Here is a 21,640-nt window from a genome sequence, read left to right as displayed (position 1 = left end):
GCAGTTCTCATCTGACCTGTGCTTTAGACCATCTCAATCTGCAACATAAAGGCCACCAATCCAATCACTGAGCTGCCTCGTGGCACATGGATATTGGCAGTGGCACGGGGGCCTCTAGGATCTGCTCTGTTGGGACCCTTGGGCCTCTGTGAATGGCTCCAGGTGGAACCACCAGTTACATTTAGGATCCAGTGTTGCTGTGACGGGAGCTTTTGGCAGAATGTGCCGGACTCTGAATGTGCAGGGAAGGTGGCTTCTCAGGAGGCTGAATAATCTGTTTTCCCCCTACCTGTTAGCGATGGTGACAGACGGACTCTGATTCTGAGACCTAGAACAGCACCTCAAAGTTGTTTTTGCTGCAAACAGTGGCAGTTCTGCTCCAAGGTTTTAGGGGGAAGACAGACTCACACCGAGAGCAGGCGGGCAGGGCTCCTGCGTTGAGGTGCCTGGTTTTAGTTGAGGGCTCTATTGGCAACGCCCAGAGGGTGGTGAGCAGCCACTCTCCAAACAGAATGTGGGGACAGACTCGTGGTTTCGTTGCAAAGGATTTTGGAGGGATGGGAGGAAGAACTCATTCTGGCAGTAGAGCTGGTTAGATATGGGCAGGGTTTGCCAAGGGAGGGCAGGTATACGGATTTCCCTGCTGGGAAGTGTTTAAAATAGCACTGATCCTCACAGAACCAAAAGCTGTTAATGAGGGCTACTGCCTGAAGGCAGGAAATGACCAGATGGGCATTCTCCAGTCTGTGCCCCAAGTGGCACGACGTGGGATCCTGCTGCATGGCCAAGGTGTTCAGATCTGTCTCTGGCAGAGGCTGCCAGCACTGGTAGGGGTCTGGACTGCCAGCAATGCCCCTCTGGTCCTGGGAGGTCCCTCTGGTGGCTTGGGATCAGGGTCAGCACCAAGAGCGGCTCCATGCAGGAGTGAATTCCAGTCACTCCCTCCAGGAGACACACCAGCAGTGGTCAGGAAGCAAGTCCACCACAGCCTTCTGGAAAGGTCTCTAGTCTCAGGAGACACCAGCCACTCAAGCCTCCCACATGCCACCAAAGAAGATAAGCTGGCCCAGAGAAGACCAGCAGCCCAGAGAAGACCAGCAGCCTGGACAAGACCAACAGCCCAGACATAGACCAGCAGCCCAGAAAGGACCAGCAGCCCAGACAGGACCAGCAGCCCAGGCAAGACCAGCAGCCCGGACAAGACCAGCAGCCTGGACAAGACCAACAGCCCAGACATAGACCAGCAGCCCAGACATAGACCAGCAGCCCAGAAAGGACCAGCAGCCCAGACAGGACCAGCAGCCCAGGCAAGACTAGCAGCCCGGACAAGACCAGCAGCCTGGACAAGACCAACAGCCCAGACAGGACCAACAGCCCAGACATAGACCAGCAGCCCAGACAGGACCAGCAGCCCAGACAAGACCAGCAGCCTGGACAAGAACAGCTGGCCCAGCAGCCCATACAAGACCAGCAGCCCAGATATAGCCCAGCAGCCCAGACATAGCCCAGCAGCCCAGACAAGACCAGCAGCCCAGACAAGACCAGCAGCCCGGACAAGACCAGCAGCCAGGATAAGAACAGCTGGCCCAGCAGCCCATACAAGACCAGCAGCCCAGACATAGCCCAGCAGCCCAGACAAGACCAGCAGCCCAGACAAGACCAATCTGCCCAGGCTGCTCTTGGAGGGGGTTCTCTCAGGATTCTCAGGCTGAAAGTAGGCCGAGCCCTGGGTCATCACCACTCCGGCAGCCCAAGTGGGACCTCCTGGGACAGGGCTTCATCTCCGCACTTGCAGGAGCCCCCGTTCTGCCTCTTTCCTTTCTCTGCATCTCCTACCTTCCTCGCCTCTTCCTTTCTGCTGTGGATCACTGAGCCCCTGGGTCCCCTACTTCTTGGTGATACAGTGCGACTTTTCTTCCTTCCCGGCTCCAATATGTCAAAACTTTGTAACAGGAAAGAAAAGCAGGAAAAACCGTCTGGGAAGTAGGTGACCTAAAAAACAACCACCTGACTATAATGAAATCCGCTTTTCCAGTGGGCTGCCTCCGGGAAAGCCACATCCGGTGCTGGCTTCCTTTCCCTCCGCCCACCCTCATGTCTTCCCTCCTTCCACAGTCAAATTTCTTTTTTTTTTTAATTATTGTACTTTAAGTTTTTGGGTACATATGCACAACGTGCAGGTTAGTTACATATGTATACATGTGCCATGTTGGTGTGCTGCACCCAGTAACTCATCATTTAACATTAGGTATATCTCCAAATGCTATCCCTCCCTCCATCCCTTTTTTTTTTTTTTTTTTTTTTTTTTGAGATGGAGTCTCGCTCTGTCACCCAGGCTGGAGTGCAGTGGCGCAATCTCGGCTCACTGCAAACTTTGCCTCCCGGGTTCACACCATTCTCCTGCCTCAGCCTTCCAAGTAGCCGGGACTGCAGGCGCCCACCACCACACTCAGCTAATTTTTTTGTAATTTTAGTAGAGACAGGGTTTCGCCGTGTTAGCCAGGATGGTCTAGATCTCCTGACCTCGTGATCCACCTGCCTCAGCCTCCCAATGTGCTGGGATTACAGGCATGAGCCACCGCACGTGGCCCCACAGTCAAATTTCAACATCCAACTCTTAGTATGAAATTTGCCAGTAAGACCTCTCATTAGGCAAATCATGAAACCCTCACCACTATGGTATGGCTGAGACCGTTGCTCAACTGCATTGCTGAGAGGGGGAGCCATATGGTGTAAGGGGTGGTGGCTATGAAGATAAAGTGGGGAGATTTGCTGCTGTTTGTATTTCCCAGACCTCCCCAGCTCCTCTGCCCCCAGCAGTTTCATCTCCTGGGTTTTGGCTCAGCAGCATCCTCCGTGCTGGAGTTTTGGGTGAAGCACACAGACCTCCTTCTCCTCTTCCCTCCTTGCTGGACTTCTTGGCTGCTGGCTGAGCAAACACCACCCGGAGCATCCAGATCTTCAGGCCCAAAATGCTCCTGTTCCACTCATGATAGGAATCAGCCATCACCATGGCAAGGGCTCCGGCTGACACCTCCCCAGTTGTAAGCTCTGTCTACTCAGCAACTTTGTCAGCAGCAGCCAGGCAGTTTAGGAGATGAGGCCTGAGTAACAAGGGGCTGGAGGTTTTTCCCAATCCACAGACAGTTTTTTTAAAGGGGGTAAAGACATTTCTAGAAATGATGAAGCGGCAAGCTTAACTTCCATTCCTAGAAAAATAATCATGAAACCGACAACTCAAGATAGGGAAGTTAGCATGTTACTTGAGAATTGTCCTGCTCACATAAAGAACAAGATTTGCCAGCCAGATCGAATCTCTTTGCCTGCCGAGTGATGGCCCAGGTAGACAAGGTGGCACCCTTAGGTTCACCATGGCCTCATCGAACATTGCAACTTTTTTTTTTTTAAGATTGTGATTCTTACATAACAAGTGCCTAAAGTACCTACTAGTTACCTGGAAAGCAGCTAGTTAATTAGTGGAAGCCAGAGTTTAGGGATTCCTTGCCAATTTGCAGACAATTTCAAGTCTGTGTTTGTCCCCTTTGAGTTTGAGACCACGTCCAGGGGAGAAACATCCCCTTCACTAGAAGGCCCTGCCACGGGCATCGGTGCTGCTGCCAGTGCCTGCTCAGGACTCAATTGCCAGCAGAACCCTCCAGGGTGGACCCAAACCACCAGCCTCTGTGTGGAAGCCAGATGTGCTCACCCTGAGCCCCACAGGTGAACCCTGGTGAGGCTGAACCCGTGGGGGCTTCACCAGCTCAAATCTGCGTCTTTGTTCTGAGGTCCGTGTGGGTCTGAGCCAAGGCCATTGGCCTGACTGCAGAATCAATAGCAACTTCCTTATGGCCGTTCTGTTTGAAAAGAAACATCTAAAATTTGATGTATTGGGTCTGGTTTGGTGGAAAGAGTGCAGACTTTGGAATACGAATGAACTGGGTCTGCAATTTCAGCCGGGCCATATGCTGACTGTGTGGCCTTGAGAAAGTGGCAATTGGAGCCTGCACCTCTTTGTCTGAATGAGGGGGGTGGCCGTGGGGGAGATGGGAGGAGTGTTCCATGAGGGAGCATATGGGAAATGCCAGCTCCTTGTCGGTCTTCATGGAGGGTCAGCTCCTTTCTTTGAAGGATGTGTATGTGCACGTGTCCGTGCACATCTGTGTGTGTGCGTGCACATGCACATTTGCGGGTGAGTGTGCATATCTTGTGTGCAGGCATATGTGCACCTGTGTGTGTTTAGCCTGGGTAATCAGGCAGTTGGAAGCTAGGGCTGCCAAATAAAAACACAGGGTGACTGGTTAAATGTGAATATCAGATAAGCAATGAAAAATTAATATAAGTACTTCCCAAATATTGCATGGTATGAACTTATACTAAAACAATGAAAACATTATCTGTTATCTGAAATTTCTAATTTAACTGCATATCCAGGGGTTTTATTTCCTAAATGTGGAAACTGTCACTGGAATGAGGTTTGCTATTTCGGCTGTAAGATTAGGCCCACAAAAGCAGATGTGCAGGGGTCTGGGGCCGTGGTGGCCTTGTGGGGAGGGGCTCTGGGAGGAAGGACACAGGCTGTGTGGCCCAGGCTCCTCATTTTGCTCAAGACCTCCCTTCCCTTTCTCACGTTTGGAGCTCCTTCCATTGCATTGAGCAGAGCGACGAGCTGCCCACATCCTGAGTAACAGTCCCTGGCTGGGAGCAGAGGTGGGAGCCATCGCCCCTGCCCAAGGAGGGCTGCCCACAACTCAGGTGGGCCCTGAGTCTGTACTGAGCTGGACAGCACCGACCACAGCCTGCTGGCCTGGCCCCATCTACATGCTGGCCTGGGCTTGGGGTGGTGTTCTCTGGAAACTTCTCTGTTTGTTTCATGGGTGACGTTCGATCTTCCCGAAACAGGATCCTGCAGAGTTCAGAGCACCTGCCAGACAGTCACAAAGCCACTGCATGGCCTCGTCCTCAGCCCCAGCCCCTCCACCCTCCACCATCACCAGCCACCCCTTCTCCTCTTCCGCGCAGCCTCTCCCGCCCTCTCCAATTTTTACTTGGCAAATTATACCCTGGTGCTCCCAGCCTGCTCAGTGGGTGCTGTCGAGCCTTGGCAGATTCCAGTGCCAGCAGCAGGGGGCACAGATACTTGCAAAGGGGAACTAATAGGGAATGAAATAGCTTTCCTCCCCCAAAGACCCCTCCCAGAGCTGCTGGCGGACCCACCCCTTGCGGAGTGAATTGTTTCCAATCCAATCTCGTGTTTATTGAAGTTTCCTCCAGGGTTAGCTCGGGAGGCCTCTCCCCAGCCCCTTCCGCGTGGCCTTATTTACCAGAATCCCCTCGGCGCGCCATTTAAGCGTCTCCATTAACATTTCCTGCATCTTGCTCATTGCAAGCAAGGCCCTCAGAGACCCCCAGGGTGGCGGCACGGGCGGCAGCCCGCAGAAACGCCAGGCTTATTTTAATTGGTTTGAAACTGTCGCTGTCGACCACAGAGGGGTCCCTTTCCTTGAGTAATGACCTGGAATTTGATCACGTGGCTTTTATGAGCTTGTAACACTGAAAGTGTAACCGTGTGAGATCAAAGCAAGGACCAGGGTGCACATCTGTCTGGCCGCAGTGGCCAGCAAGTGTGAAGGCGCGGCCTGGGAGACACCGCTCTTCCCCTACCCCTGCGGGTCCCATCTGTCGGGGGATGGGAGAGGTGGCTCTTTTCACGTCCCCTCTGACTTCCTTGTCGGCCTGCAGATGGTGGTGTGAGAAGAGGGAAAAGCCGCCTCTGCATCCAGCACTTTCTGGCCTCCTTCTCGGTATGGAGAATGCTTTGCTCAGAAGACCAGGGTCTGGGTCCCCAGAGAGAAGGATGCAGGGGAGCCTACCTCCTGGAGACATGGATGGTCTAGAGTCTGGAGGCCATCACTAGGGATGAAATGGTTTTACTTCCTCTTGGGAAGTGGCTCCCTCCGGAATCACTCCATCGTGTACGTCATCCATTTACTTGGTCGTCAGGCCACCAGCCGGTGAGATTCTACAGAGCCACTAATCATAGAAAACACTGTGCTTTGACACCAGCTTTGTGTCACGCATGTATAATCAGGGTCTCTCACTCCTGCAGCGGGCCATCAATCTAACCATGCTCGTCTCAAAAAATTTTTGGAGAATTTTTATAATTAAGGTAAAAGATAAATATCTATCCTCCTCTACCTGCAATTAACAATAACTAACACTTTGTTCTCTTGCATTAGTCTTAAAAAAAAAAAAAAAAGGAAGGATCACAGACAAAGTCCAAGTCCCCTCCAGCACACCCAGCCCCGTTCCCCTCCCCTACACCCAGAGGCCGCTCTGAGCATCGATTTGGCATCTATTATTTCTGTCCCTTGAGAAAAACATTTATACACACATGTAAGCGTGGACCAGAGCTCACACTGTTTTATGTCTTCTTCAAATGCACATGCATGGCCTCTTCCTGCAACTCACCTCTTTGACTGAACATGGTTTCTGCAGCTCTGGTGTGTTTCTGATACGTTCCTTTTATCTACTGTGGAGAATCTGACTTAGAAACCTGCCCCATTTTCTTTGTCCACTCTTTCATTCATGAAACTCCCAGTGGTTTGCAAAGTGCAGCTATTTCAGAGAATGCCGAGTGAGAGTCTTGGTGGCTGTCTCCTGTCTCAGGCGTGGACCTGGCTGTGAGTGGCCGATCTTGTCCAGGTCCTGCGAGGCCATCTGCACCTGCCTATCCCACCAGCTCCGTATGCGATCTCAGTCTCCTCCCAGCATCACTGATGCTGAGGCCGATCGTTCTCACTGTGCCCACGAGAGAGCCCAGCTCTGGTGTGTTGTGTTTGTTGGAGCTGCCTGACTGCCATGCCTCTCTCCTCTGCTTCTCAGCAGGTTTGGGGGTCCTGCACACTCCCAGGGAGCCATGGTTACCCCAGCTCCTACTTTGTCACTCGGGAAAGCAGCCTGCACCTCAGAAAGATTTAGAGCAAAACGTAAAGCCCTTTTAGTAAAAAAACAACAAGAGTGACCCATTCAGAAACTTTTGGGCTTTCTTGTTAGACCCCATTGTCTGTAGCCCCCTCCATGAATGATCATGAGCCTGTGACTGAAACACCATGTGGGGGCTGTGACCACTCGCTGCCCTCTGAGGCCACCTGGCTACCTGAGCCCCCAGGCCAGTTTGCAGGACCCTCCCAGCAGTTGCGGGCAAGAGCCGGACATGCAAGTGAGGATGAACAGCCTCCCTCTTTTCAGAGGCTGAAGGTATTTGGTGCAGCCCCACAGTAGCTCCTGGAGGTGGGAGGACAAGCAGGGGAGCCTCTTGTCTTGTGGGGGTTGTGGTGGGCTCAAGACCTGGGCTCTGAAACTTGGGAGCAAGCGGCCCCCCACCCCGAGGCAGAGATGCTGCTGCCCCAGGAGCCTTGCTGGGAGGTCGGGGCTGAAGCCACAGCCCCCAAGGATCTGGGGGTGGGAAGGGGAGGCTCTGAGCAAGGGGTACCCATGACGGAGCACAGGCCTGGCCTGGCCTCACTTTATCTCCAGGAAGAAAAGATGAGGTCCCGCCCCGCCCATCTCTCCCTTGCTCCCCTGAGTGTGTTACTGGACTCTCGTCAGGATTGTAGGGGTTCTGTGGCTGCTCCCCTACACTGACCAGAGCCCTGGATGGTTGGGCCTGGGACCTGCAGGGGGGTCTGGGGTGAGACCTCAGGGTGGAAACAGGTAAACAGGCCCAGCACAGCTTGACTAAATGAATGAGTACATGAATGAGTGAGTGAAGAAGTGAGGCATGGACCCAGGCTGCTATATTCACTGTGCTTCACTGGGAGGTCCGTGCTCTGGACGTTTGTGAGGACATCCATCCCATCTTTGGCACTTCACTAAGAAAGCCCCTGGAGCCAGGTCGAGCCTCCCCCAGCCCTGCCTGCCCTACCCCTTTGATAATTCCCACCCCAGTGGGGTATGCAAGAGCCTGGAAGGTGCCAGAAGCAAGGGGGGCAGCTATTAAAGAGTTCACATTACAGATGGGGAAACTGAGTCTGCAGCTGGCTGACCTTAGTGAGAGCAAGAGCAATGTAGAGGTGCCGCGCTGAGCTCTTGAGCCAGATGCCCTGGGTTTGGGTCCCAGCTCTGCCAGCATGCAGGCTGTATGCCTTGGAGTAGACTCTCCCAGCATCCTACATCTCAGCTTCCTCCTAGGGTCACTGGAAGGGTTAATGAGTTATACTGCAGAAAGGGCTTCCCTCGGTCCCACTGTGGCCCTGCAGCCCTGTCTAAGCTGCCTGTCCTTTCTCTCCCACTCCTGCCAGCTCTCTCCCCCTCGAGGAGATTACAGCAGCTACAGAGAGCTGCCCCTCCATCCTCACATGTGCTCAGGCCAAGGAAGACCTGCGGGCAGCAGCAGCACAGTTTATTAAGCCAATAAAATCTTAAGTGCATGAACTCCAGAGACCCCTGAGGTCTTTTTATGTGCATGAAGGAGCTGGAGGGTTTCCTGGGCCTGAGTCTTTCTTACTGCTTGGAACAGGTGGGTGTACAGCAGTCTGCCCTCTCCCCTGTGTCCCCTTCCCAGGAAGGCACCTGTCACCTGACAGCCAGCCCCACCACCTGCCCCCACCTTGGGGACCCTGGTCTGGTCTGGCCTAGTATCCTCACTCAGACATTCCGAGAGCACAGGACAGCGCCTGGCAGACTCATGCTCCTGCCCTCACAGTGCATCTGGTGGCCTGCCTCCTGCCTACCACACCTCATCCCATCAAAAGTGCTCAGACCACAGCCCCTTCCTCATCTCTGCTGCACCCTAGAAAGGTGGGTCAGGCCATGGCTTGCTGCCACCGGCTCTCTGTCTTGTTGAGAATCTCCCTTCGCCCTCTTTTTTTTTTTTTCTTAATCTGCTGTTTTCCTTGTCTCTCCCCTGCCTGCTCCCTTTTTCTTCCCAGCCCTCTTCTTTGTCTCCTGAAACTTCTCCTGGTGTGCCTAATTCCTGGAGGCTGCAGAGGCTTTGGAGATGCAGCCCCACCTCGTTGTGCACACACAACCCTGAGAATTGATTCAGAAAACGATTAGTTACAGTACGGTAGCGCTGCTAACTGTGGCATTTTGCTTTGCAGTTATTGATACATCATCAGAATTGAGAAATGATAGTCAGGAAGGGGGAGGAGAAGGGAGAGGGCAGATGCCTGTCCTGAAATGTCAGCTCTGACGGGGAGGGATTTTCAGGCCCGAGCTGAAGCTGGCACCTGGGTTGTCCTCATCACAGCCGCGCCTGACCTTACATTCAGGAGGGCCGGTTTGTTCCAGGTTCGTGAGAATGCTGTCCTTGCCCCCAAGCAGACATGAGGCTTTGGGCTGCCTCCTTCCTGTTCCCCGTTTCTGCCATCATGGGGGCACTGCTTCCCACTCCACCAGCCAGAACTGCATGCTGGGCAGAGCATGGGGAGGTGGGATGTCTGGTTCTGTTGATGGACAGAGTCAGCTCCAGGAGCCCAACCTGCGAGAGACCCCAGAGGGCCTGACTCAGAGTTCTCCAGGTAAACAAAGTCAACAGGACCTAGGTAGGTAGGTAGATGATTGATTGATTGATTATTGATTGATTGACAGATAGGACAGACAGATTTTAAGGAATTAGGTCATGTTATTGCGAAGGCTGCCGAATCTGAACTCTGTAGGATGGGTGGACAGGCTGGAACCTCAGGCAGGAATTGGTGCTGCAGTCTGTTTTTTTTTTTTTTTTTTTTGGAGATGGAGTCTCGCTCTTCTTACCCAGGCTGGAGTGCAATGGTGTGATCTTGGCTCACTGCAACCTCTGCCTCCCAGGTTCGAGTGATTCTCCTGCCTCAGCCTCCTGGGTAGCTGGAACTACAGGTGCCCACCAACATGCCTAGCTAATTTTTGTATTTTTAATAGAGATGGGGTTTTGACATGTTGGCCAGGCTGGTGTTGAACTCCTGACCTCAGGTGATCTACCCGCCTCGGCCTCCCAAAGTGCTGGGATTATAGGCGTGAGCCACTGCGCCCAGCTGGTGCTGCGGTCTTGAGGCAGAATGTTTTCCCCAGGGAACCTTAGTTTTTGCTGTTAAGGCCTTTTAACTGACCGGATGAAGCCTTTCGACTGACTGGATGAAGCCCACCCACCCACATTAAGAAAGGCCATATCCTGTGCTGAAATCAATTCATTTTAGGCATTAGCCACACTTACCAAGTACCACCCCAGCAACACCTAGGTACGTGCTGGACTGAATCCCAGGGGACGAGAGCCTGGCCAAGTGGACGCATAACACTGACCATCAGATGCCCCGAGACCCCAAGAGCTGATGACCAGGGTTCAATGGATGGGCCTAGAGGGCAGTGAACTCCTGGAAACAGCAATGTTTCTGTGTGTTATGGAAAATGGGCTCCTAACTTGCATTAGATGTTTAATGCCGAGGCAGCGCTGGGGGTGACTTGTCTGTGCCATCGGTGAGCAACAGAGCGGTGCTCCCTCCACAGAAGGGCCCGGGCAGAGGCTGGGGAATGCGGGAGGAGGGTGGAGGTCCTTCTCCTCTGTGAGCCTGCAGGAGCTCCACCTCGCCGACAGGACAGGACCCTCAGCAGTGGGGAAATGGGCAGCCACTGCTGACTGTCCTAGAAGCAGGACGGGGCTGGGGAGCAGGTAGGAGAGAAAAGAGAGGGGTGGGAGGGGCCCATGGGAGCCTCTACTGGGAGGAGTGCAGAAAAAAGTCTACAGGAACCTCGAGCTTGGTGACAGATTGCTCTGGGGACACAGAGGAGGTCTCGCCCTGGTCTGGGCAGGCTGGCAGGGCTGAGGTTTGCACCAGTCATGGGGAGAGGACCCTGGGAAGGAAGTAAAACTGACTGTGAAGGGCCTGGACCCCCAGGCTCAGGAATCTGGACTTAACCCCCAGGCCTTCAGGGAAGCTTCAAGGGATTTTAAACAACTTTGTGCTTTAAAAATCTACTCTAGGGGCAGGTTGGGGAATGCATGCTATGGAGGCCATGCTGCGGGCAGGGAATGCAAATAGGAGTTGGAACACCGCGTCCGGGGTAGCTGTGCATTCACACATTCATCCCTCATTCCTCATTCCCTGAGCACCTGCGGCTTGCCAGGCCCTGCTCCGGTATGGAGACCACGCAGCAGCTCCACGTGTCCTCGGGAAACTTCCGTTTTAGGGCGTTGTGCACAAATGAAGACAATGATGGCACTACTTTATGACTGTGGGGTATAAAGAACTACCTGAGACTGGGTAACTTATAAAGGAAAGAGCTTTCACTGACTCACCGTTCCTCATGTCTGGGGAACTTACAATCGTGGCGGAAGGCGAAGGGGAAGTGAGGTGCGTCTTACATGGTGGCGGGAGATGAGAGTGAGGGGGGAACTGCCAACCACTTTTAAACCATCAGCTCTCACGAGAACTCACTCACCATCACAAGAACAGCATGGGGGAAACTGCCGCCATGATCCAGTTACCTCCCACCAGGTCCCTCCCTCAACACATGGGGATTACAATTCCAGATGAGACTTGGGTGGGGACACAGAGTCAAGCCACATTATGATGCGACAGGCCATGAGTAGATGCGGCAGGTGATGGGGAGGGGGCTTCCCATACGATGGTTGGGGGCTTCTCCAAGGGGAGGCCTGAACATGCAGATGTCACCCAACACCTGGAGGAGGGGACAACATGTGCAAGGACCCTGAGGTCAAATCCAACCAGAAGGCCCCCATGGGTGGGGCAGAGGGAGCAAGGAGCAGGTGTGAGAAGCAGCAGGAGGGGGCGGGGCACATGCAGGGGATGGGGCAGTGCCCACGGGGCCAGAGCCACGGGGTGGGAGAGGAAGGCTCAGGAGAGGTGGAGGGAGGAAGAGTCCAAAGTTTCAGCGGAGACCCCAATCATGTGACACCCCCTTCCTGCCCTGTCTGCCTTCCTCCTTCCTGTGCAAAATCTACTCTCAGGTGCTTTGAGGAATACAAGCCACGTGAGGCTCTGTCTTAGTGGGCTGGGGCTGCTATAACAAGATGTCATACACTGGGTGGCTTAAACAACAAACATTTAGTTTTTTTTTTTTTTGAGACAGAGTCTTGCTCTGTTGTCCAGGCTGGAGTGCGGTGGTGTGATCTCAGCTCGCTGCAATCTCTGCCTCCCAGGTTCAAGCAATTCTCTTGTCTCAGACTCCCTGGTAGCTAGGACTCACCACACTCAGCTAACTTTTGTATTTTTAGTAGAGATGGGGTTTCACCATGTTCGTCAGACTGGTCTTGAACTCTTGGCCTCAAGTGATCCCCCCGCCTCGGCTTCCCAAAGTGCTGGGATTACAGGCATGAGCCACCACACCCGGTCCAACAAACAATTACTTCTTACAGTTGTGGAGACTGGGAAATCCAAGATCCAGGTGCCAGCAGATCTGGTGTATTGTCACTGGGGGTTGGGGGTGGGTGGGTGGAGAGAGAGGAGAGAGAGAGAGACAGACACTCTTATGAAGGCACTCATCGCATTCAGACAGCCCCACCCTCATGACTTTATGACCCCCACCAAAGGCCCCACCTTCAAATACCATCACATTTGGCCTTTGAGGGAACAGAAACACTCGGACCATGGCAGACTCAGTCCCTGCTCACAGCCAACACAGATCGGCAGAGTGAGCCGCTAAGAGGCAGAAGCCAGGTGCCCCCTTGACGTTGCCCCCACCCAGTGTCTAGCAGGGAGGCCTGGTGGCCAGAGGCCTTCACACTGTCAACCCCAGAGAAGCCTAAGACCAAGAAGGAGAATTCACAGCTGCTCGTGGTGACACTGATGGGGTCTGATGAGAAAACAGCCTTACTTCCCATCGAGGGCCTAGCTAGGCTGCAAGTACAAACCACGAGGGCTGCTCAACCCACGCCGGCCGTTACAATTTCCTCTAGGATGCAGCCCAGCGCCCAGGAGCTGGGCCTGGTGCTGAGGATTCATCCCCAAGGAGGCTCTGCTGGCATGAGAGACCTGGGGCCCGGCTTGGGGACAGGCGACTCGGCCATTCCCCCGTCAGTCCAAACTCCAGCCTGACCCCGTCACCTGCTGGCACTCTCCCCTCTGACCCCAGCTTCGGTTTTGATACCGTGAGTCTCACCTACAATATCCAGGGCTGCAGAGCTGGGAGCATCTTCTACCCATGAGGTGGTGGACAGGGACACCTTCTTACAGCTTCTCCCAGCCTAACGCATTCCTGTTTGTATCGTTCAAAAGACATAGTGCCCGTGACACTCTGTCCTGTAATATTTTCAATCAAGAGTGCGGGAGAGCATGCGTCTGATGCACTCTAGATATTCAGAGATTGAACACCGTTTTGTTCTCTTGTTTTCTTTTTGAAATGCAGCTTGAAGTCACAGCAGCCAGAGGAAATTCTGCCACCATTTTCCCAGGTCTGCAGCCCCTCCAGCTGGGAACCTGCTCCTGGAGCCATCCCTCTGCAAACAGGTAAGAACCAACCTCTCTACGCAATGCTTTCTGCTCCCCCCGAGCTGGTTCTCAGATGGGGGCTTCTCCCAGGCCTCAGGGTGGCCCACCGCCATGGGGAACGATGCGTGAGGGTGTCTGCAGGAGGAGCTTTGGTCTGCAGAGAGGAGGGTCCCCACCATGGGGTTCCCTAACTCCTCTGTGCTTTTCACCTGCCCTTCCCCAGTCCCTTCACTAAAATGCAAATCAGCGAGTATATAATAGATAATTAATAGACTGATCAGCAAGCAAGGGAGGTAAGTAGATAAATAATTTTAATTATCCTTGGGTTGCCCATAAATTCCCTCACTGCCTTTTTATTAAACTCTCTGTTTACAGGAGTCATTAATATAAATGAAATGTCATTTCGCCTCCCCTGCCTCCTGGGTGGCTCCCACCGGGGCTGACCTAGGGTGGAACAGGACCGTGTGACCGCAAGATCTCCCGGTGGAGCTCGTCCCGGGCACAGGTGTCAAAAAGCTTTGCCCAAGTGGCCAGCTGGATGGCAACAGGGCGGACACGCTGCTCATGCGAGGCCCTCCTTCCGCGCCCCGAGGTGGCCGCAGCCTATATTTAGGCCTGAGTCGGAAACCTTTATTATACTTGGCACCTGTGCTGTAGGTATGAGCTCATTCTTCTCCCCAGGGATGGCCTTAGCCTATTAATAGCCTTGGCTGAGTTTCCCTCCTTGCTCCGAGTGCCAAGAGAGAAAGTGGGTTAATAAATATCAAAGAAAACTCCCTCAGAGGGCCTGGGGCCAGACTCTCCAAGAGTCGTGGATGTCGGGCCCCAGACCAGGAGAGGGGTTCCCTTTTCCCCCAGCCTCTCATCTTCCTCCTGACAGAGGCCCAACGCCCAGGCTGGCGGGTCTGAGGATCAGGCATGGCAAAGCTCTCCCAGGTGCCCGTGGAGCTGGGGGTGGAGGAGGACACCCGGCACGGGAGGCCTAGGAGGTTGGCTCAGGTGGGGCTGTTGGTATCTGGGCAGCCAAGAGAGGGAGGTAGGCAGGGCACCCTGGACCTTCTGGCACCTTCCTTCTTGCCTGCACCCTCTCACATCCTTCTGCCAACTCAGCAGCATGGAAGGGAAAGGGAGGAAGTGGCCTCGGGATGGCCCCTGAGGAAGACCCCACCCTCATCCTCTCCCAGGCTCAGAGGCTGCGGCAGGAATTGTTTAGCCTGAGTTGGAAACAGTAAGAGAAGGGAGCCCCAGGAACAAAGCAGGGAGGGGAGGGGCGCTCCTGAGGGCAGGTGTGCCAGGGTAGGCTGGCAGCAGGCTCCGTTGCACTGATTCCTTTGATCAGCCAAATTCCAAGAGAGTCACACGCGTGCGGGCCATGGCTGGCGCTCTGCATGGACGTGTGAGCCGCCCTGGCCTGGCGCGTTGTCAGCTAGCACTGCTGAGTGCCGTGGGCCGGGGAGATGTCTCACAGCCCCGTCTCGTTTATTTTCCGCCATTGCCGTGCATGGGTGCTCTTAGCAGGGCTCAGGGAGGTCACGGCCACCCAGCTGGGAACTGGCAGAGCTGAGGCTCAGGCTGGCGTTATCTGGCTGCAGCAGCCGCCGCCTGCAGGCCTCGGGTCAGGATGTTTTCTGCAGAGCATGGAGCCCTATCGGCTAGATTCCGTCTGTGCTTTCTGGCTTTCACCCGCTGGACATAAAGGCAGACTGTAGACGCTGCTGCTTTTATGAAACTCGACTCTAGCTGAGCTCTAGCAGGGCAGCCAGTGACGGCAGAGTCTGGGCAGCCTCCATCCACTGGCTTGCACAACTGCTGCCCAGGGCTCTACGCTAGAGGCTACGGCAGGTCAGCCCTGGATGGTTAGCCAGGTTATGCACTCTCTGCTGGTTGTTCTGCTCTCCTTGGAGGGAGGCTGCCTGCCCACAGCGGAGAGGGAATTCAGCCTGAGCAAACGGAAAGTCCTTTTTAAGTTTCACTCAATGCAATTAAAGTCTGAAAAATGGCCCAGCGGAGGCTCCCTGCCCTTTCAGGAGTTTGTTCAGCTCAGAGCTGTGTAGCTGGTACAGCCCCCACCCCAGCCCACACAGGCTGTGTGGGAGGAAGACGCAGGGCCAAAGGAGAGGCAGAAAGATCTGACCGTGACTTCCCCAAAGTCTTTCTCCCCTGTTCAGGGGCTCACTGGAGGGGGCGGCCGAGCCCATTTCATGTCGGTCTGTCCAGAGGAGGCGGACAAGGGGGCAGGGCTCTGCCCTGCCTTGGGAAATGGAGGTGGAAACACGTGGCTCTGAAACCAAACAGCAAGCCCCACTGGGACAGCTGTGCGTCGTCTTGATTTTTCTGATTATTTGGTGGACCTTTTTAGGGTTTCTTATCTGATTCTGTTCTGGGGAGTTGGGTGGGTGGAAAAGAAAAACATAATGATTGAAAGGCAGGATGAAACTGATCCCAGTAATAGCTATGACGGCAGGGCTTGGCCGGCCGCAGGGTTCCAAGCCCCCTGCCCCCACCTCTCCCTTTCCCCCCCACACAGGCAAGAACCCTTTAGTGGCTCTGCTTCAACTGCCTGATCTTCAGGAACTGAGCCACCTGGGGCCACCATCGGAGGGGTTGATGATTGACTAAAAATAGCCAGAGCTGTGCTTCCTGCCCTGGCCAGGCGGCGGCCCACCCACCCTGCTGAAACAGCATCCTCTGAGAGCAGGGCCACAGCGGAGTCCACCCGGCCCTCTAAGCACGGGGCTCAGGATAGCGTCCATGGAAAATGATGGAATGCCCCAGTGTGAGACGCGGTGGGAGGGAGGGGCCAAGTGAAGGAGGTGAGGGATTTGGTTCTCCCACAGACACGAGCAGGTGTAAGCAAGACTCTGCCTCGAGAACACGGCACCCGTGTCACGGCCAGCTCTCCCTCATATAACCCAACAGCCACCAGCACCTTCCGAGAATCTTAGAGTTGGAACCAAGAACAGAGGCCCCGGGTTTGACTTCCATCCTCTTTCATTCTAATCCCATCATCTTTTCTCCCCTGGGGTTAGAAGGGTCTGGGGACTTTCAGCAAAATCAATAATTTTCTTTTTCAATTAAAGTCAGGTCAGTATCTTTTTATTATTACACAAGCAATAGATGTTTTTGTGGAAAATACAGACAAGAAAAACGAAGAAGTAACAATCTGCCAGAAATAACCACAGCTCACACCTCAGTGCGTGTGTGATGTGTGTGATCTTCTAGCAGTTTTTTTTTTAACACATAAGAGTATGAAAATCCTTCTGCAAAAGCAGGATCATGCTATATATTTATATATATATACACATATATATCAAAATATATATGTACATATATGCATATATTTACATTATATACAAATATATGTACATATATACCTATATATTTACGTGTGTGTATATATATACATATATATTTTTTGTTTTGTAACTTGCTGTTGTTGCTAGACAGTATTCTCAGGAACATATTTATAGGTTGCTATTAACCTCATTCTTCATGATTGAATATCATTCTGTTGCATAGAAAAACCATAACCAGTCCCTCAAGCCTGTTTGCAAGTACTAAGACAGGCATTAACCACCAACCCTATTTCCAAAACTCTATGCTACACTCTAAGAAACTAGAAGATTAATTTTCCAAACAGGAGTTAGAAAATGATTATTCACATTATAAAGGAGACTGCAAACATACACTCCAAAGAGCTTCTGTGAGAAATGGGCTCCCTGGGGCATTAACTTCCTATAATGGGTAAAACCCCAAGTCGCAGGCAGCTCCATAGCGGGTGGTGCATCTGGCTTCATGTTCCTTCCCTCATGGAGGTCTTTCCCAGGTCCTCCAGATGCATGTGTGGCCAAGTACACACATGCACACACACACACACACACACACACACAGGCAGACATGCACACATGCATACAAACACATGCACACTGTGTACCGCACACGCAGGTACATACACACACGTACGTGCACCTAGTGTGTGGAAGCTTCTCTTCATTGTCAGCTGGAAGGTGATGTTAATTAATTCATTATTAATCACATCTATTTATCAGATGGTCTGCCCCTAGCAACCATTCTCGGGGAGTAAACTATCATTTCTCTCTAAAAGATAAAGGGAAATAGATGTTGATGAGTCTGGGCAGGTCAGTGCCCCTAGCCCATGTGACTTATTATTTCAGGAGGCAAGCAGACAAACCTCAGAAGAGAAAATGCTCAGGGGACTTTTAATAAAATCAGGCTTAAAAGAGACCCAAATCCCTGGCCTGCAGGTTAGAGTCTGCAGGCTCCGCACCTGAGGGGGCACAAGGTGGTGAGCATCTTTGCCCTAACAAATCCAGCTGAAGACCCCTGAGACCCCCACTTCCCCAAGACCACTCAGACGATGCTGTCCACAGGCGAAGCATTTGTGTGTATATTTGTGCAACCATATACCGCATAATCAGTAAACATATTTCTGGTATATTTATATTCAATTTCAGGTATACATATTTCTAAAATAATTTGGTGAATTAAAAATCATAGCATAAATGGACTATTTGAGACAAGGTCTTGTTCTGTCACACAGGCTGGAGTACGGTGGTGTGATTAAGGCTTACTACAGCCTCTACCCCTAGGCCCAAGCGATCCTCCGACCTCAGCCTCCCAAGTAGCTGGGACCACAGGTGCACACCATCAAAACCATCTAATTTTTGTAAATCTTTTTTTGTAGAGATGAGGTCTCACTATGTTGCCCAAGCCAGCCTCAAACTCCCGGGCTCGAGAAATCCTCCGGCCTTACATACCCAAAGTGCTGGGATCACAGGCGTAAGCTTCCAGCCAAAATAGACCTTTTAAAGTGAACAACTTAGTGGCATTGAGTACATTCACCACCTCTGTCTAATTCCAAAACATTTCCATCACTCCAAAGTCAAACCCCTTACTTGGGAATAATTTAAATATTATTTTGTTTTAAAAGGCATCCCAACTACTACCAACCAAAAACTTTGCAAAACAAGCCAAGTTCAATGGTATATGAAGCCTGGGACTTGGTATCATTCATTCATTCACTCACTCATTTCTTTCACCATCTATTTTTTTTCTTTTCTTTTGAGACAGAGTTTTGCTCTTGTTGCCCAGGCTGGAGTGCAATGGCGCAATCCCAGGTTCAACTGATTCTCCTGCTTCAGCCTCCCAAGTAGCTGGGATTACAGGCGACTGCCACCACGCCCAGCTAATTTTTTGTATTTTTAGTAGAGAAGGGGTTTCACCATGTTGGCCAGGCTGGTCTCAAATTCCTGACCTCAGGTGATCCACCCGCCTCGGCCTCCCAAAGTGCTGAGATTACAGGTGTGAGCCACCACACCTGGCCAACACTGTCTATTTCTGTAGTGCTTGCCAGGAACCAGAAACATTTGGGTGGAACCCTGGCTCCGTCTTACTAGTGAGTGATCCTGGATCGTGTACTTAACTTCTAAGCCTTGGTTTCTTATCCATGAAATGGGACAATAATATGCTTCTTGAAGGGCTGCTGATGGAAGGGGAGGGGTATTTATTTATTGTGTGAAGGAATCAGCACAGTGCCCGGCATGCAGTGAGAGCTCAGTGGGTGCAAATGTCTGTTCACATTTGTTTTTCATTATATTAGAATACATAGAGCAAAAGCTAACATCTTGACCATCTTTAGTTCAGTGGTATAAGTGCATTTGCATTGTTGTGCAAACATCACCACCCTCTGTCTCCTGAACTCTTCATCTTGCAAAGCTGAAACTCTGTCCCCATTAAATAATACCCCACCAATTTAGAAACCACCCCCTCCCCCAGTCCCTAGCAGTCTCCATCCTGCGTTCCATCTCTGTGAATCGGATGACTCTAGGGACCTCACGTGAGTGGGATCACACAGTATTTGTCCCTTTGAGTCTGGCTTATTTCACTCAGCATAAGATCTTCGGGGCTCATTCACATTGTGGCCTGTGTCAGGAGTTCCTTTCTTTTTAAGGCCCTATAGTTTCCAACGTATGGGTGGGGGAACCGCATTCTGCTTCTCCATCCATCCCTTGATGGACACCTGGGCTGCTGTCCCCTTTTGGCCACTGGGAGTAGTGCTGCTGCGGGTGGGTCTGCATTGTCATGACTGTCTTGACACTGTGTGATGGAAGATAGACTGACTAGGAAACTCACTTTCCAGCGAGGTGCTCCTCCCCTGCTTTCTCCCACATAAAGGCAGAGCCTGTGAGACTGGCCTGTGGATGGCCTTTAGGTGAGCAGGGCCGGAGCCTTGTCAGGGCGACTCTGAGCGCCAGAATGTTTGGAGTACACCTCTGTGGTCTCAGTCTTGAAAACACACATGCCACCAAGGCAGTGTTCCCGCTGGTGCTGCACAAGGCTTATGGGAGCTGCATCACCCTGGGAGACTTTGTGTTCTATTAGCCGCTCACCCCAGTGGGGTTCCAAGTCCGGGTGTGGCCCAGATGGACAACTCGCAGCCCCAGAGGGCTGGACCTGTTAAAGGGCTTGGTCCACATGTGCAAAGTCCTTCTTGACATAAAGGGCTGGGACCCAGAAAGTCCCATACATTAAATGGGCTGGGACCCAGAGAGTGGCCTCTGAGGCTCTCCCAGGCCCATCCCAGCAGGGGAGCATCTCCTAGCCAGAGGCTTCTCCCTGGGGCCTACGTATGTTAAAACTGCCGAGGTGCAGTGACTGGGAAGGGGTGATCTGGTGGCCCGCAAGATTTCAGGAGGTGATGGTGAGGAAAAAGGGCATGTTCTCCCAAAGTCAAGGCCGGAGTCAGGGCCCTGCGTCAGCCCTGGCATCCATGCCTCCCCTGTTTGGGACTTTGTTTATAAAAGCTTTGTGGCCACCTAAGGAAGAATTTTCTGAAAAGGAAACACTGGAATGTCCATTTTCTCCCAAGACCCATTCATCTTTTCTAGAAACTTAAAATACAAGTGCAGCCCCAGGTGCCTCACCAAGGTCTCTGGTGCAGAGGCACAGGGTCACGTCTGGGTGTCCCCCAGAGTCTCGAAACGTCGGCTTGGAAACTAGATCCCCTGGGGAGTTCATCACATCAGGCAAAACAACAATAATAGTCACAGCAATATCATCTTTATCCGAAATGGTCTCTCCATCAGTTCCAGAAGAACACGCCAGTCCACGTTGCCCCAGCCTCCTGGTTCTGTCACTGACTGACTGGTAGATCTTTCTGTTGTTCACGTTTAAGCTTATTTAACCCACACAGATTCTCCCCTCCTCCAGGGTTTTCTCCCAAAGTCTATGTCTCTATTTCATTTTTATTAAGAAATCAAAGAGATTTTTTTTAAATTAGGGCAGCAATTTAATAGGATCACATCTCCCCACTTCGGGTGGAATCACCCACTTCCCTTTCTGATTCTTCCCATCTCTACTGGATTCTGGGTGCTTCCCAGGGCAATATTGAGTGCTTGGGATCCGTATCAATTTCTGGGGGCTGCAGTAACACAGCACAGACAGGGTGGCCCCAGCAATGGAAATTTCTTCTCTCGTGGCTCCGGAGGCTGGAAGTCCAAGATCAAGGTGTTGGCAGGAGTCGGGCACAGTGGCTCATGCCTGTAATCCCAGCACTTTTGGAGGACAAGTTGGGTGGATCACCTGAGGTCAAGAGTTTGAGACCAGCCTGGCCAACATGGCAAAACACCATCTCTACTAAAAATACAAAAGTTAGGGGGTGTGCTGGCAGATGCCTGTAAGCCCAGCCACTCGGGAGGCTGAGTTGGGAGAATTACTGGAACCCGGGAGGCAGAGGTTGCAGTGAGCCGAGATCATGCCACTGCACTCCAGCCTGGGCCACAGAGCGAGACACTGTCTCAAAAAAAAAAAAAAAGAGTGTCGGCAGATTCCTTTGGAGGCCTGTGTGGGGTACTGAGAAGCTGGCTAAACAGAGATGCTGGAGGCAGGGATGTGGCTGCTCCCCTTGGCATGTAGACGCCGTCTTCTCCATGTCCTTATGTGGCCATCCCTCTGTTTGCGTCTGTCCTAATCTCCTCTTCAGGAGAACAGTCACTTTGGATTAAGACTCACCCTAATTAACTCAGTTTAACCAAATTACCCCTTCAAAGTCCATATCTCTAAACACAGTTGTCCGTTGGTATCCTCAGGGGGTTAGTTCCAAAAACCCCACGATCTGACGATGCTCAAACCCCTGGTAGGAAATGGCGCAGCCTCTGCATGTAACCCACGTGCATCCTCCAGTACCCTGGAGATCACCT

The 21,640-nt window shown here is 52.4% G+C and overlaps 1 protein-coding gene across 58 annotated transcripts in view; it reads left to right on the top strand.

Moving 5' to 3' along the window:
- The window catches only part of RBFOX3 (RNA binding fox-1 homolog 3), a 576,227-nt gene that overhangs the window by 344,409 nt on the left and 210,178 nt on the right, over positions 1 to 21,640 (top strand). For 56 of the 58 annotated variants that reach the window (NM_001385807.1, NM_001385838.1, NM_001385842.1 and 53 more), the window contains one exon: positions 13,339 to 13,439. The gene's annotated coding sequence lies outside the window, so the exon portion shown is untranslated. Of the gene's footprint in view, positions 1 to 8,563; positions 8,800 to 13,338; positions 13,440 to 17,982; positions 18,080 to 21,640 lie in introns of all 58 variants that reach the window. The other 2 variants (NM_001385845.1, NM_001385821.1) reach the window with 2 other exon arrangements.

This window comes from Homo sapiens, chromosome 17 (genome assembly GCF_000001405.40).
Source record: "Homo sapiens chromosome 17, GRCh38.p14 Primary Assembly".
Classification (NCBI taxonomy): Eukaryota; Metazoa; Chordata; class Mammalia; order Primates; family Hominidae; genus Homo; species Homo sapiens.
Note: the sequence above shows the minus strand (reverse complement) of the source record. Positions and strands in the feature narration are given on the sequence as shown.